General features: G+C 43.4%; 1 protein-coding gene across 1 annotated transcript, besides 1 other annotated feature; it reads left to right on the top strand.

Moving 5' to 3' along the window:
• Nucleotides 51-910: an enhancer, noted in NCBI's record as "H3K27ac hESC enhancer chr14:93672647-93673506 (GRCh37/hg19 assembly coordinates)". NCBI's record gives its function as "activates a minimal SCP1, AML or CMV promoter by ChIP-STARR-seq in naive H9 embryonic stem cells {active_cell/tissue: H9 hESC(naive)}" and the evidence as "EXISTENCE:reporter gene assay evidence [ECO:0000049][PMID:30033119]".
• GON7 (GON7 subunit of KEOPS complex) lies at nucleotides 147-4,318 on the top strand. Its single transcript, NM_032490.5, has 2 exons — nucleotides 147-382; nucleotides 3,430-4,318. The coding sequence occupies exons 1-2, from the start codon at nucleotides 175-177 to the stop codon at nucleotides 3,522-3,524; spliced, it is 303 nt and encodes a 100-aa protein (NP_115879.2). The 5' UTR covers nucleotides 147-174; the 3' UTR covers nucleotides 3,525-4,318.

Below are 14,101 nucleotides of genomic sequence, written 5' to 3'. Positions count from 1 at the left end.
GGGCCCGAGTGCCAGGAACCAATGACAAGGAAAAAAAGCGAAGGAAGGGGGAGGAGCGACTTCCGACAAACGGATGTCACTCCTCTCCCTTCTCCCGCCTGCGCCGGACGCGGGCTGATTTCCGCCTCCGGGTGGCGCTTCCCGGTGTCGTGTTCTGGAAGCTTAGCGGTCACCATGGAGCTGCTGGGAGAGTACGTCGGGCAGGAAGGGAAGCCGCAGAAGCTGCGGGTGTCCTGTGAGGCGCCGGGTGACGGCGACCCTTTCCAGGGCCTGTTGTCTGGCGTGGCCCAGATGAAGGACATGGTAACGGAATTATTCGACCCTCTGGTACAGGGGGAAGTGCAGCACCGGGTGGCGGCGGCTCCAGACGAGGACTTGGACGGTGAGCTCTGAGACGGTGCTGCAGTGACCGGAGGACGGGGCGGGCGCCCAGGGGAAATTGGCTTGGGGAGCCCGTGTAGAGTGGCAGACTTGGACAAAGTGAGCCTCGAGGAAAGAAGAATTGCATCTAAAAATTTTTGGCGGGCTAGGCGAAGTGGGGCTCACGCCTGTAATCCCAGCACTTTGGGAGGGCGAGGCAGGAGGATCACTTGAGGTCAGGAGTTCCAGAACAGCCAGGGCAACATATCGAGACCCCGTTTCTATTATTATTTTTAAAATAATTTAAAAAATAAAAATTGTTGGCATTTATCACTATATTTATTTGGGCTGCTTCTACTCAAGCGTTTCCACAACTCATCGCTATTTCGTTTATTTCACAAAAAAACGTGTCGAATGCCTACTATTATGTGCCAAACCCTGAGCTGAGCCCTGGAGGAAGAATGAGGTGAATGCGACTCAGTTCCTGCCCTTGTGAAACACAAGGGGACTAGACAGGCAGACACTCTTATTAAAAGTGGAAGTGGTCCGGGCTGGTGGCTCACGCCTGTAATCCCTGCACTTTGGGAGACCGAGGCAGGCAGATCACGAGGTCAGGAGTTCGAGACAAGCCTGGCCAATATGGTGAAACCCTGTCTCTACTAAAAATACAAAAATTAGCTGGGCGTGGTGGCATGCTCCTGTAGTCCCAGCTACTCTACTCGGGAGGCTGAGGCAGAAGAATCGCTTGAACCCTGGAGGCAGAGGGTGCAGTGAGCCGAGATCGCGCCACTGCACTCTATCGTGGGCGACAGAGCGAGACTCCGTCTCAAAAAAAAAGAAAAAAAAAGTGAAAGTGGTTCTGTGGTCCTCTGTAACTGTTGCAAACCCAGACACCCTAGGAAGTCTTCAGAAAGGATAAGACTTTTGAGCTGGGTGTTGAATAAAAAGGAGTTTTATCAGGTGTGAAACTACAGACATACTTGGAAGAGTACAATCTATCGCAGAGTAGGAACAGGTTCCAAAGACTGGGACAGACTTCATTTTATCACGTATTAACTCCCAGAGACTCCCTTGCCTTTCCAGTTTTGTAGGTGCAGTTTGAAAGTAGAAACATGAAGTTTAACTGCATTATTTTTAAAAAATTGCCTCGAATGCAGAAATAGGCAGGTACTTTTTTTTTTTTTTGAGATGGAGTCTAGCTCTGTCACTCAGGCTTGAGTGCAGTGGCACAACCTTGGCTCACTGCAACCTCTCCCTCCCCGGTTCAAGCGATTCTCCTGTCTCAGCCTCCGGAGTAACTGGGATTACAGGCACCCGCCCCCACTCCCAGCTAATTTTGTATTTTTAGTAGAGACAGGGTTTCACTGTGTTGGCCAGGCTGGTCCCGAACTCCTGACCTCGTGATCCACCCGCCTCAGCCTCCCAGAGTGCTGGGATTACAGGCGTGAGCCACCACACCTGGCCAGGCAGGTACATTTTAACCGTCCTGAGCTGAAAAACCCAAGAACTAGATATTAGAGTCAGGATTTACAATTATGTAAGAAGAGCTTAAACTGTACTTTCCTTCCATCTTGGGAAATACATCTTGATAATATGGATGTTGGCTATAATCAAAAAGAACAATAACAAGTGTTGGCTGGAATGTGAAGAAATTGGAGACCTTGTACATTGTTGGTGGAAATGTAAAACAGTGTAACCACTGGGAAAAAGAGTTTGGTAGCTCCTCAAAAAGTTGACATGAAGTTACCATATGACCCAGCAGTTCCACTGGTAGTCCTCCCAAGAAAACTGGAAACGTATGTTCACACAAAAACTTACGCATGAATGTTGATAACAGCAGCATTTATAGTAGCTAAAACGTGGAAACAACAATTGGCTGGGCTTGGTGTTGCGCCTTTAGGAGGTGGGAGGATCATGTGAACCCAAGAGTTTGAAGCTGCAGTGGGCTGATTGCTCCACTGCACTCCAGCCTGGAGGACAGAGTGAGGCCTCATCTCTTCATCTCTAAAAATGATAATTTTAAAAAATAGAAATAATGCAAATATCCATCAACCGATGAGTGCATTAACAAAATGTGGTATATCCATACAATGGACTATTATTAGCAATAAAAAGTAATGAAGTATTAACATGTGCTACAACATGAATGAACCTTGAAAACATTATGCTAAGTGAGAGCCAGACACAAAAGGGTACATGTTGCATGATTTTGTTTATATGAATGTACAGAATAGGCAAATCCATAGAGATAGAGTAGATTAGTGAGCCAGGTGCAGTGGTGGGCACCTGTAGTCCCAGCTACTCTAGAGGCTGAGACAGGAGGATCACTTGAACCTGGGAGTTTGAGTCTAGCTGGGCAACATAGCAAGACCCTATCTCTAATAAGGGGGAAAAAAAGTAGATTAGTGGTTGCCGAAGGCTGAGGGGAATGGAAAGCGACTGCTAATGGGCATATCATTTCTCTTTGGAGTGATGAAAGTGTTCTAGGTGATGGTTGCACAAGCTAGTGAATATACTAAAAACCACTAGGCCGTACACTTTTTAAAAGAGTGGATTTTGGCCAGCCACAATGGTTCATACCTGTAATCCCAGCACTTTGGGAGGCCGAGGCGGGCGGATCACGAGGTCAGGAGAACAAGACCATCTTGGCCAACATGGTGAAACCCCATCTCTACTAAAATGCAAAAAATTAGCCGGGCGTGGTAGCGCGTGCCTGTAATCCCAGCTACTTGGGAGGCTGAGACAGAGGAATCGCTTGAACCCCGGAGGCGGAGGTTGCAGTAAGCTGAGATCGTGCCACTGCACTCCAGCCTGGCGACAGAGCAAGACTATCTCAAAAAAAAAGAAAAAAAGAGTGGATTTTATGGTGAATGAACTAATATTTCCAAAGAGGAAAGTGATAGAAAATAAAGATTTTAAACACTGAAATTCTCAAAATCATTTTAATCTAAAATGTGCAGGTTTTATTAATCCCTAAAGTGAAATGGTCTCATTATCAACCACTTTAGCTATATATATTTCTTTCAGCCATAGAACGTATTGTCATACAACAAATATTTATTTTAAAAGGTGATGATGAAGATGATGCAGAAGATGAAAATAACATTGATAACAGAACTAACTTCGATGGACCATCTGCAAAACGGCCAAAAACACCGTCTTAACAATAGCCTTCATGACATTTAAAAGATGGCTGTTGTATCCTTATTGTCACACTAGGACATTTAAGGAAGACTTATGCTCTAATTTGGAAAAAGCATTTGTGTTGTTCTCCTGGGACAATTTTGTCAAAGAGAAAACTGGTTTTTCTGTTTCTAGCAAAGATAGTAAAGGCTTAGAAATAAAATCTGTTTTCTTGAGAAATAAATTTCAGACCCTGGAAGGAAAATAGAACACTTCATAATGTATAAAATCCTCTAAGTTGGCAACTGAATTTTTATCATTGTTTTCTATTTTTAAAATAATCATTGATTTGTGTGATGTCTACATCTTTTAACTTCTGGTTCTGTTATAAAGAGTACATGTCACGGTTCATAGGCAGTAACATTTCAGAGAACTGACATGAACAAGTAGTGAAAATTGGGCATTAAATATAAAAATAACAGTTCTTCATAAACAGAAGGAAAATAAGGAAATAGAAATACCGACGAGAAAGGAGAGTCCTTGAAAGAGACCCAAGGAAACCCTGAATTCATACCCACGTCAAATATGCACATATCCTGAGATGATGCCACTTTGATGAATGTGCATTAGTCTGATTTATCATGTACCTTAAGAGAGCCAGATGGGGTATGTTTTTGTGCTGTGATATGGTATTTATACAGGTACAAATATAAGGCCTTAAGTAAACAATCTGCATTGATTACAATTTGGATATTTCCTCTCCTCCTGTAGCCATACTTTGATTTTGCTTTAAAAAGATTATTGAATCCTTTTAAAAATATATATTCCTAAAATATGTATGTGTGTGTGTTTCTTTTCTGCTCGTCAGTGGGACTAAGGCATTTTTATTTGCTGTGCATCCTTCCTGATTTAGATAGCTTCAATGCAAAGAAATCAAGTAGCATGTACCTAGTAAAATACAAATAGTCATGGAATTTTAGAGTTGGAAGTCACTTTACAAATTATGTGATTTATTTCAGAGATAAATCTAAGGATAAGTATTTGCCCTCAGATTACAGAGCTAACCATTGACAAACTGGGTTACATAAATAGCCTTTAGATTTTTTTTAAGCTGATAAAAGGTGAGAGAAGATCAACTTTTTTTTTCTTTTTTTTTTTTTTTTTGAGACAGAGTTTCACTCTTGTTGCCCAGGCCGGAGTGCAGTGGCACAATCTTGGCTCACTGCAACCTCTCCCTCCCGGATTCAAGCAATTCTTCTGCCTCAGCCTCCCAAGTAGCTGAAATTACAGGCATGTGCCACCACGCCCAGCTAATTTTGTATTTTTAGTGGAGATGGGGTTTCACCATGTTGGTCAGGCTGGTCTCGAACTCCTGACCTCAGGTGATTCACCCACCTTGGCTTCCCAAAGTGCTGGGATTACAGGCATGAGCCACCACGCCAGGTCAATTTTTTTTTTTTTCCCAGGGTCAACTTTTTTTTCAGATGGAGTCTTGCTCTGTTGCCCAGGCTGGAGTGCAATGGTGCGATCTGGGCACACTGCAACCTCCACCTCCCAGGTTCAAGCAATTGTCCTGCTTCAGCCTCCTGAGTAGCTGGGATTGTAGGTGCACACCACCACGCCCGACTAATTTTTATATTTTTAGTAGAGATGGGGTTTCACCATGTTGGTAAGGCTGGTCTCGAACTCCTGACCTCGTGACCCGCCCGCCTCAGCCTCCCAAAGTGCTGGGATTACAGGCGTGAGCCACCGTGCGTAGCCTTTTTTTCTTTCTTTCTTTTTTAAATTTTTATTTTTAGACAGGGTTTCACTCTGTCACCCAGGCTGGAGTGCAGTGGCACGATCGCGGCTCACTGTCACTGCAACCTCCGAGTCCCAGGCTTAGGTGATCTTCCCACCTCACCCTCTCAAATAGCTGGGACCACAGGCATGCACCAGCACACCTGGCTAATTTTTTTGTATTTGTAGAGATGGTTTCACCACGTTGCCCAGGCTGGTCTAGAACTCCTGGACTCAAGGGATCTGCCCACCTCTGCCTCCCAAAGTGCTGGGATTACAGGCGTGAACCACCATGCCCGGACTAATCAACTTTTATGAATCACTTTTATTGTGAAATAATTTAAGTGAAACTCAATTTACACACTTTTTCATATCCTTGAAATATTGTTTTAGTTGGAACAGCAAGCAGCCTTCCACTAAGTACTCTTGGGCAATCAAAACAGTGCCAACTAGAAAAAGTTATGGATGGTCAGAAATTATCTTTGTTTAGTTTATGTTGATGTTTCTAACATTTAACTTATTTATTATAGTACTGTTATCTCTATACAATCATTAAAGAAAAAACTGGTTGGGCACGGTGGCTGATGGCTGTATTCCCAGCACTTTGGGAGGCCGAGGTGGGCGGATCACCTGAGGTCGAGGGTTCGAGACCAGCCCAACCAACATGGAGCAACCCAGTCTCTACTAAAAATACAAAATTTGCCTGGTGTGGTGGCACATGCCTGTATTCCCAGCTACTTGGGAGGCTGAGGCAGGAGAATAGCTTGAAACTGGGAGGCAGAAGTTGCAGTGAGCCAGTGGTGCCATTGCACACCAGACTGGGCAACAAGAGCGAAACTCCATCTCAAAAAAGAAAAGAAAAAAACTTACCTGTATATACTGAAAAGAGAGCACATTGTTAAACTGATATTTGAACCTTTTCTCTGAACATTTTATGTTTCCTCCTTTGGAAAATGTGGTTATAAAGAAGAAATTTCAAGATAATATTTGTGTTTGTGTCCCAGTGTTTTTAGGTTCTGATTTATAAGATTGGTCTTTTAATTAATTTTAATACTGATTTCAATTCTAATACTGTCTTCTTCATAAGTAAGCCATGTGTTTGACAAAGATGGACCAGTATAGAAGAAATGCTTTGCCAAGTTGCCTAATCTGCTGCTGCTCTTGGGTCTCACTGTCACTCAGGCTGGAGTACAGTGGCGCAATCAGCTCACTGCAGCCTGGAATTCCTGGGCTCAGGTGATCCTCGCACCACAGCTTCCCAAGCAGCCAAGCACTAGGTGTGTGCCATCACGCCAGGCTAATTTATTTTTTATCTTATTTCTTCTTTTTTTTTTTTTAGACGGAATTTCGCTCTTGTTGCCCAGGCTGGAGTGCAATGGTGCAATCTTGGCTCATTACAACTTCCACCTCCCAGGTTCAAGCGATTCTCCTGCCTCAGCCTCACAAGTAACTGGGACTACCGGCATGCGCCACCAGGCCAGGCTAATTTTGTATTTTTAGTAGAGATGGGGTTTCTCCATGTTGATTAGGCTGATCTCAAACTCCCGACCTCAGGTAATCCACCCGCCTTGGCCTTCCAAAGTGCTGGGATTACAGACACCGCACCCGGCCATTTTTTTTTTTTTTTTTTTTTGAAATGGAGTTTCACTCTTTTTGCCCGGGCTGGAGTGAAATGGCATGGTCTTGGCTCACTGTAACATCCACCTCCCAGGTTCAAGCGATTCTCATGCCTCAGCCTCCCAAGCAGCTGGGATTACAGGTGCCTGCCACCACGCCTGGCTAATTTTTGTATTTTAGTAGAGACATGGTTTCACCATGTTGGCCAGGCTGGTCTTGAACTCCTGACCTTAGGTGATCCACCCACTTTGGCCTCCCAAAGTGCTTGGATTACAGGTGTGAGCCACCGTGCCCAGCTGCCAGGCTAATTTTTTAATTTTTTGTAGAGATGGGGGCCTTGCTTTGTAGCCCTGGGTGGTCTTAAAACTCTTGGCTGTAAGCGATCCTCCTGCCTTGGCCTCCCAAAGTGCTAGGATTACAGGCATGAGCCACCGCACCTGACAAATCTGCCTTCTGTGGTACAAACAGCCACAGGCAAGCAGAATAAAGTTACTCTTTGAAACAGCTCCAACTTTACTTTTGAACAGGAAAGTCAGCCGCACAATCCTACCTAAAAATAAGCTTGACATTAGACTTAGATAAATCTTTTAAAATGTGAAACATATGGAATTTATGCAAGATAGATGTGTTTTCTAAAAGTAAGTCCTTTTGCGTCACAGAAATGTTTATTTTAATAATAGAATTCTGTGGCCAAGGACGAGAACTTTTTTATAATAGGTTGTGGTTGCTTGGCTATAATATTAGGTTGGTGCAAAATTAATTTTAAGACATTTAAACCTTTTTGGGAAGAAAAACTTACTTTGGAAAAGTAGGAAAAAAAATGTATGTGAGGAAATCAATTCCCCCGCCTCTCCATTTAGAAATGGGCATTCAGAATCAGAGGATTTTTTTTTTTTTTTGAGATGGTCTCTGTCATGCAGGCTGGAGTGCAGTGTCATGAACATAGCTCGCTGCAACTTCAAACTCATTTGGAAGGTAAGGGCTCAAGCAATCTTGAGTTCAATAGCTCAAGATTTTTCAGGGCTCAAGCAGTCTTCCCACTTGGCCTATAGAGTAGCCAGGACTACAGGTGCATGCAATCACGCTTGGCTATTTTTTTTTTTTTTTTTGAGACGGGGGAGGTCTCAGTTACGTTGCCTAGGCTGTTTTCTAATTCCTGGCCTCAAGTGATCCTCTTCAGCTCAGCCTCCCCAAGAGCTGGAATTACAGGCCTGAGCCACCATGCCCAGCTTAGACTCAGGATTTATGCTTCTGCCACTAGTTGCCTTTCAAATCCTGGGCCAAATGACCTCCTTTGTCTATCTACTTATCCTTTAGGTTTCAGTTTAAACATTTGCTTCAGGAGAACTTTTGAATTTTTTAATTGAAAAAGCCTGTACTTCTAAAGGAAATAAAGTTTATGTTTTCTTCCAAATGAGAAAATCAGTTGGAGATGTCTGTGGCCCTCAGTTTATTATGTAGTACTTTTATCTAGTTTCTATTTAACCTAAAGATGCAACTGTTTCTCAAATTGTTCCATCAATGTAAGTATAGACTATCATTTCTTATATTGCAATAAGATACATACATAAGACAACCTGTGGCTGAGCGTGGTGGCCCACACCTGTAATTGCAGCACTTTGGGAGGCCAAGACTGGCAGATCACCTGAGGTCAGGAGTTCGAGACCAACCTGGCCAACATGGTGAAACCCTGTCTCTACTAAAAATACAAAAAATCAGCTAGGCATGGTGGTGTGCAGCTGTAATCCCAGCTACTAGGGAGACAGGCAGTAGAACTGCTTGAACCCAGGAGGTGTGGGATGCACTGAGCCGAGATTGTGCCACTGCACTCCAGCCTGGGTGACAGAGCAAGACTTCGTCTCAAAAAAAAAAAAAAAAAAAAAGACAACCTGAAAACCTAAGCTTTTTAACTCAGTCGTCAACCTCTATGTGTTACGACAAAACTTTTTTTTTTTTGAAACGGAGTCTCCTGTCGCCCAGGCTGGAGTGCAGTGGCGCCATCTGGCCCACTGCAAGCTCTGCCTTCCTGGTTCACACCATTCTCCCTCCTCAGCCTCCCGAGTAGCTGGGACTACAGGCGGCCGCAACCGTGCCTGGCTAATTTTGTTTTTTTTTTGTATTTTTAGTAGAGTCAGGGTTTCACCATGTTAGCCAGGATGGTCTCGATCACCTGACCTCGTGATCCGCCTGCCTCGGCCTCCCAAAGTGCTGGGATTACAGGTGTGAGCCACCGAGCCCGGCATGACAAAATCTTTACAAGCAATTCCTTGTATGAACTATTGTGATTGGTAGTTGAGCACCACACAGTTCAAAACTATATCCATACTGGTGATGGGTGCAGATAAACATGTTTGGGGAAATTAATAATACTACAATGTAAAAATCCAGAAACCATAGTGGAAAGTATTAGTAAACATGATTCATAATAACTAAAATTTCTGAACATTCTGTAAATATGGTCAAAATAAAAACAGGGAAAAGTATTAAGTATTTTTAGCACAAATGACTAAGAACAAATTCTTTTATGTAGATCCCTTATATACTAGTCAGGAAAATATAACGGAAACATAGGCAGAGGAAAGGAACCACAAGATCACAGAAGAAATACACATGGCTTTTCAGTGAAAAAAAAAAGTGCACTTCAAATAAGTTAACATTAAAACCACAATGCAATACCATTTTTTTACTTTTCAGATGGAAAAATCAACAGTTTTGATGCAGTACTGAGCTGGAAAGGATGTGAGGTCTATAATATATTGATGGTGAGAGTGTAAATTGCTATAAGCTCTTAGAAAGTCAAGTCGACAATTCTGTTAAAATATTAGTCCAGGGGCAGTGGCTCACGCCTCTAATCCCAGCACTTTGGGAGGCCGAGGTGAGTGGATCACAAGGTCAAGAGATCGAGACCATCCTGGCCAACCAACATGGTGAACCCCGTCTCTACTAAAAATACTTTAAAAATTGAAAGTTTTGGCGTGCCTGTAGTGCCAGCTACTCAGGAGGCTGAGGCAGGAGAATCACTTGAACCCGGGAGGCGGAGGTTGCAGTGAGCCAAGAGTGAGCCACTGCACTTCAGCCTGGCAACAGAGCGAGACCGTGTCTCAAAAAATAATAATAATAATTATATATATATATAATGTACATGCTCTTTGACTCAGCAATTTCATTTATAGGTATTTGTCCTACAGAGTAACACACATGCACAAAGATCTATTTATAAGACTATTTGTTGCAGCATTATTGGTAACAAAAGGCTGGAAACAACCTAACTGTTCATCAGAAGACCATAATTAGATAAAAATAGAGGAAACTTAGTACAACAATATTGTGCAGCTATGGAAAACACTAAGGTAAAGCTCTATATGCTGTTTAAGATCAATCTCTGAGATATGCTTAATAAAAACTAGCAAGATAACTGTATAGAATGCTACTATTGGGGAATATAAGCTAGATAGACATATATCTCTGAAAGAATAGCACAACTACCTCTGGGAAGAGGGAGGGGAGTAGGAGTTGGGAGTGAGGGAGTTTTTTCATTTTATGCCCTTTTCTTTTTCCATTTAAAAAAAGGATGTAATTTTCTACCTGAATACAGAACATTATTTTGAAACTTTCTTTTTTTTTTGATATGGAGTCTTGCTCTGTCCCCCAGGCTGGAGTACAGTGGTGGGATCTTAGCTCACTGCAAGCTCTGCCTCCCGGGTTCACACCATTCTCCTGCCTCAGCCTCCAGAGTAGCTGGGACTACAGGCGCCCGCCACCACGCCCGGCTAATTTTTTTGTATTTTTAGTAGAGATGGAGTTTCACCGTGTTAGCCAGGATGGTCTCCATCTCCTGACCTCATGATCTGCCTGCCTTTGCCTCCCAAAGTGCTAGGATTACAGGTGTGAGCCACCTCACCTAGCCAAAACTTTCAATTTTTAATTTTACAAAGTTATGCTTTAGATTTAATAAGAACAGAGCAGCCATATTAACAGTTTAAAACACTGTCGTGTTAGTAATTCAGGGCAAAAAATAACCAGTTCAGACTTTAAAAGCAGAGCAAAAAAAATCCACATTTCCCATCCAACCACTTTGTCAGAAGGAGGAGGAAAAGCCCAGCACGGTGGCTCTCCCTGGTAATCCTAGCACTTTGGGAGGGGGAGGTGGGAGGATCCCTTGAGCCCAGGAGTTCTAGACAAGCCTGGACAACAGAGCAAGACCTTGTTTCAAAAAAGAAAACAAGAAAAAGAATGATAATGCAACTTCCAGAGAGTAGGAGAGCTGGGCTAAATATGAAATAAGATACCATAAAAAAGGAGCCACCTTGGCCAGGCACAGTGGCTCACACCTGTAATCCCAGCACCTTGGGAGGCTAAGAAATAAGATGCCATAAAAAAAGAGAAGAGGTATTTCTGAAACTGATGTGCCTAACCTTGAAAACAATGGCCCTATAGCCAGTGTGTTATTTTCAAAGTATAAAATGAATTTCACAATGTTGCTATAAGTACTCCACTTCTCAGGTGACCTTTGAGATCAGAATTGCTCTATTTAAAGACATGGCCCAGGAAACTGAAGTTAGACAGTAAGCTTCTATTTAAATCTTTTAAAAAGTAGCAGCTGACATTGGGATAGTAACAGGCCATAGGGTGCAGTTTTAAATAGAGATTTATTCCAATGCAAAAAATTCTACTGGGGATAGAAGTAACTTCTAGAAACAGTAGTTTAAATGAGTGCTTTATGAGTCCAAGATATTGAACACCAGAGTACTGGAATTGTGTGCTGTAGCTCTAAGAGTTGTGACACTTGGCCAGGCATGGTGGCTCACACCTGTAATCCCGGCACCTTGGGAGGCTGAGGCAGAAGGATTGCTTGAGCCCCAGGAGCTTGAAACCAGCCTGGGCAACATAGCAAGACCCCATCTCTTAAAAAAAAAAGAGCTGTGATACTTGCTGCATGTTAGGTGGTTTAAAAAACCATTATCTTCATGATTGTAGCTTGAGAATTTCTCAGGGACTCTAACCACCACTTAAACCTTATTTGTGAATGTGTTTTTCTCTGCATCAGTAAAGAAAATTGGCCAGGCATGGTGGTTCACATCTGTAATCCCAGCACTTTGAGTGGCCAAGGTGGGCAGATCGCTTGAACCCAGGGCTCTGAGACCAGCCTGGCAACGTGGTGAAACCCTATCTCTAAAAATAAAAACAAAAAATAAAGAAAATTCCAAGACAACCAATATTACAAGAACTGTCAGTAAAAAATTTCTGGTCTGTCCCTGGATCTAAAATAAATAAGTAAGTTGAGATACTCATTTTAAATCTTGGCCTTGAAGATAATATACCCCTACATGCTGAAATATGAAAGAGCTCAACAATTAAACTAGAAGATGGGACAGATTGTACTATGCATTTAACAGTAAATGTTAACTTTTTTTTTTTTTTTTTTTTTTGAGACAGAGTCTTGGTCTGTCACCCAGGCTGGAGTGCAGTGACGTGATCTCAGCTCACTGCAACCTCCGCCTTCCAGGTTCAAGTGATTCTCCTGCCTCAGCCTCCTGAGTACCTGAGATTACAGGCATGCATCAGCATGCCCAGCTAATTTTTAAATTTTTAGTAGAGACGGGGTTTGGCCATGTTGGCCAAGCTGGTCTCAAACTCCTGACCTCAGATGATCTGCCTGCCTCGGCCCCCCAAAGTTCTGGGATTACAGGTGTGAGCCACTGCACCCAGCCAGATGTTAACTTTTAACCTTTATTCTATCTGGACAGTGAACTAGATTGCTTTGTGGTCTAGCAAGAAGTGTTCAGTGGCAATAAGAATTATTCAATAAAAATATTACTGAGCAACTGCTATGTGCTGGGCACTGTTCTAGGCATAGGGCCCGCAGCACTGCACAAAGAGACAAAATTTCTGCTATCATAGACTTCAGATTCTGACAAAATATATAACATAGTACATGGTGCTAAGTGCTATGGAGAAAAACGGAAAGTGGATGGTTAATTTCAAATAGGGGTCATCAGAGGCAGCCTTACTAAGGTGACATTTCAGCAGGCCAGGGTGGAGCATCCAGGCAGAAGACACACTGAGTGCAGCGTATTCTGGTGAGTTCAAGAATCAGCAGGAAGACCAGTGTCTGGAGTGGAGTCAAGGGCAGAGGGAGTAGTAGAAAATGAAGTCAAGGCTGGGTGTGGTGGCTCACGCCTGTAATCCCAGCACTTTGGGAGGCTGAGGCGGGTGGATTACTTGAGGTCAGGAGTTCGAGACCAGCCTGGCCAACATGGTGAAACCCCGTCTCTACTAAACATACAAAAATTAGCCGGGCATGGTGGCGGGTGTCTGTAATCCCAGCTACTCAGGAGGCTCAGGCTGGAGAATCACTTGAACCCAGGAGGCAGAGGTTGCAGTGAGCTGAGATCTGGCCACTGCACTCCAGCCTGGGCAACAAGAGTGAAACTCCATTTCAAATAAATAAATAAATAAATAAATAAAATGAAAATGAGGTCAAGGGCAGGGCAGGGCCATTTACTTAGGACTTGCCATGTGAAGGACTTTGCTTTTCATTCTGAGAAGGGAAGCTATGGGAGGATTTTTGAGAGGAGTAACATTTTAAAAGGATCCCCCTGACCACATGGATGATAACAGACTCGTAGGAAACTCGAGGAACAGATTTTGATGGGTGGAGAGATCGGCAGCTTAGATTTGAATAGGTTCAATTTCATGTGCCTGGTAAGACATATTACCAAGCACCATGTCAAGGCCTATCAAGTAGGCAACTGGATAGTCAAGTCTGGAGCTCAGGAGAGGGATCCAAGGTAGTGACATAAATTTGTATATTTATTTATTTTGACACAAGCTCTTGCTCTGTCGCCCAGGCTGGAGTGCAGTGGTGCAATCTCCGTTCACTGCAACCTCCACCTCCCAGGCTCAAGTGATCCTCCCACATCTGCCTCCCAAGTAGCTGGGATCACAGACACGTGCCACGATGCCCGGCTAATTTTTGTATTTTTAGTAGAGGTGGGGTTTCACTATGTTGGCCAGGCTGGTCTCCAACTCCTCGCCTCAAGTGATCTGCCTACCTCGGCCTCCCAAAGTGCTGGAATTACAGGCATGGCTCATGCCATCACGCCTGGCCAATTCATATATTGAAAGCCATGAGTCATGGATGAGATGTCCAAAGGAGTACACACAGAAAAAAGAACTGGGGCACTCCAACATTTAGAGGTTGAGCAGATCTCCAACAAGG

This window comes from Homo sapiens, chromosome 14, assembly GCF_000001405.40.
Source record: "Homo sapiens chromosome 14, GRCh38.p14 Primary Assembly".
In the NCBI taxonomy this organism is placed as follows: Eukaryota; Metazoa; Chordata; class Mammalia; order Primates; family Hominidae; genus Homo; species Homo sapiens.
Note: the sequence above shows the minus strand (reverse complement) of the source record. Positions and strands in the feature narration are given on the sequence as shown.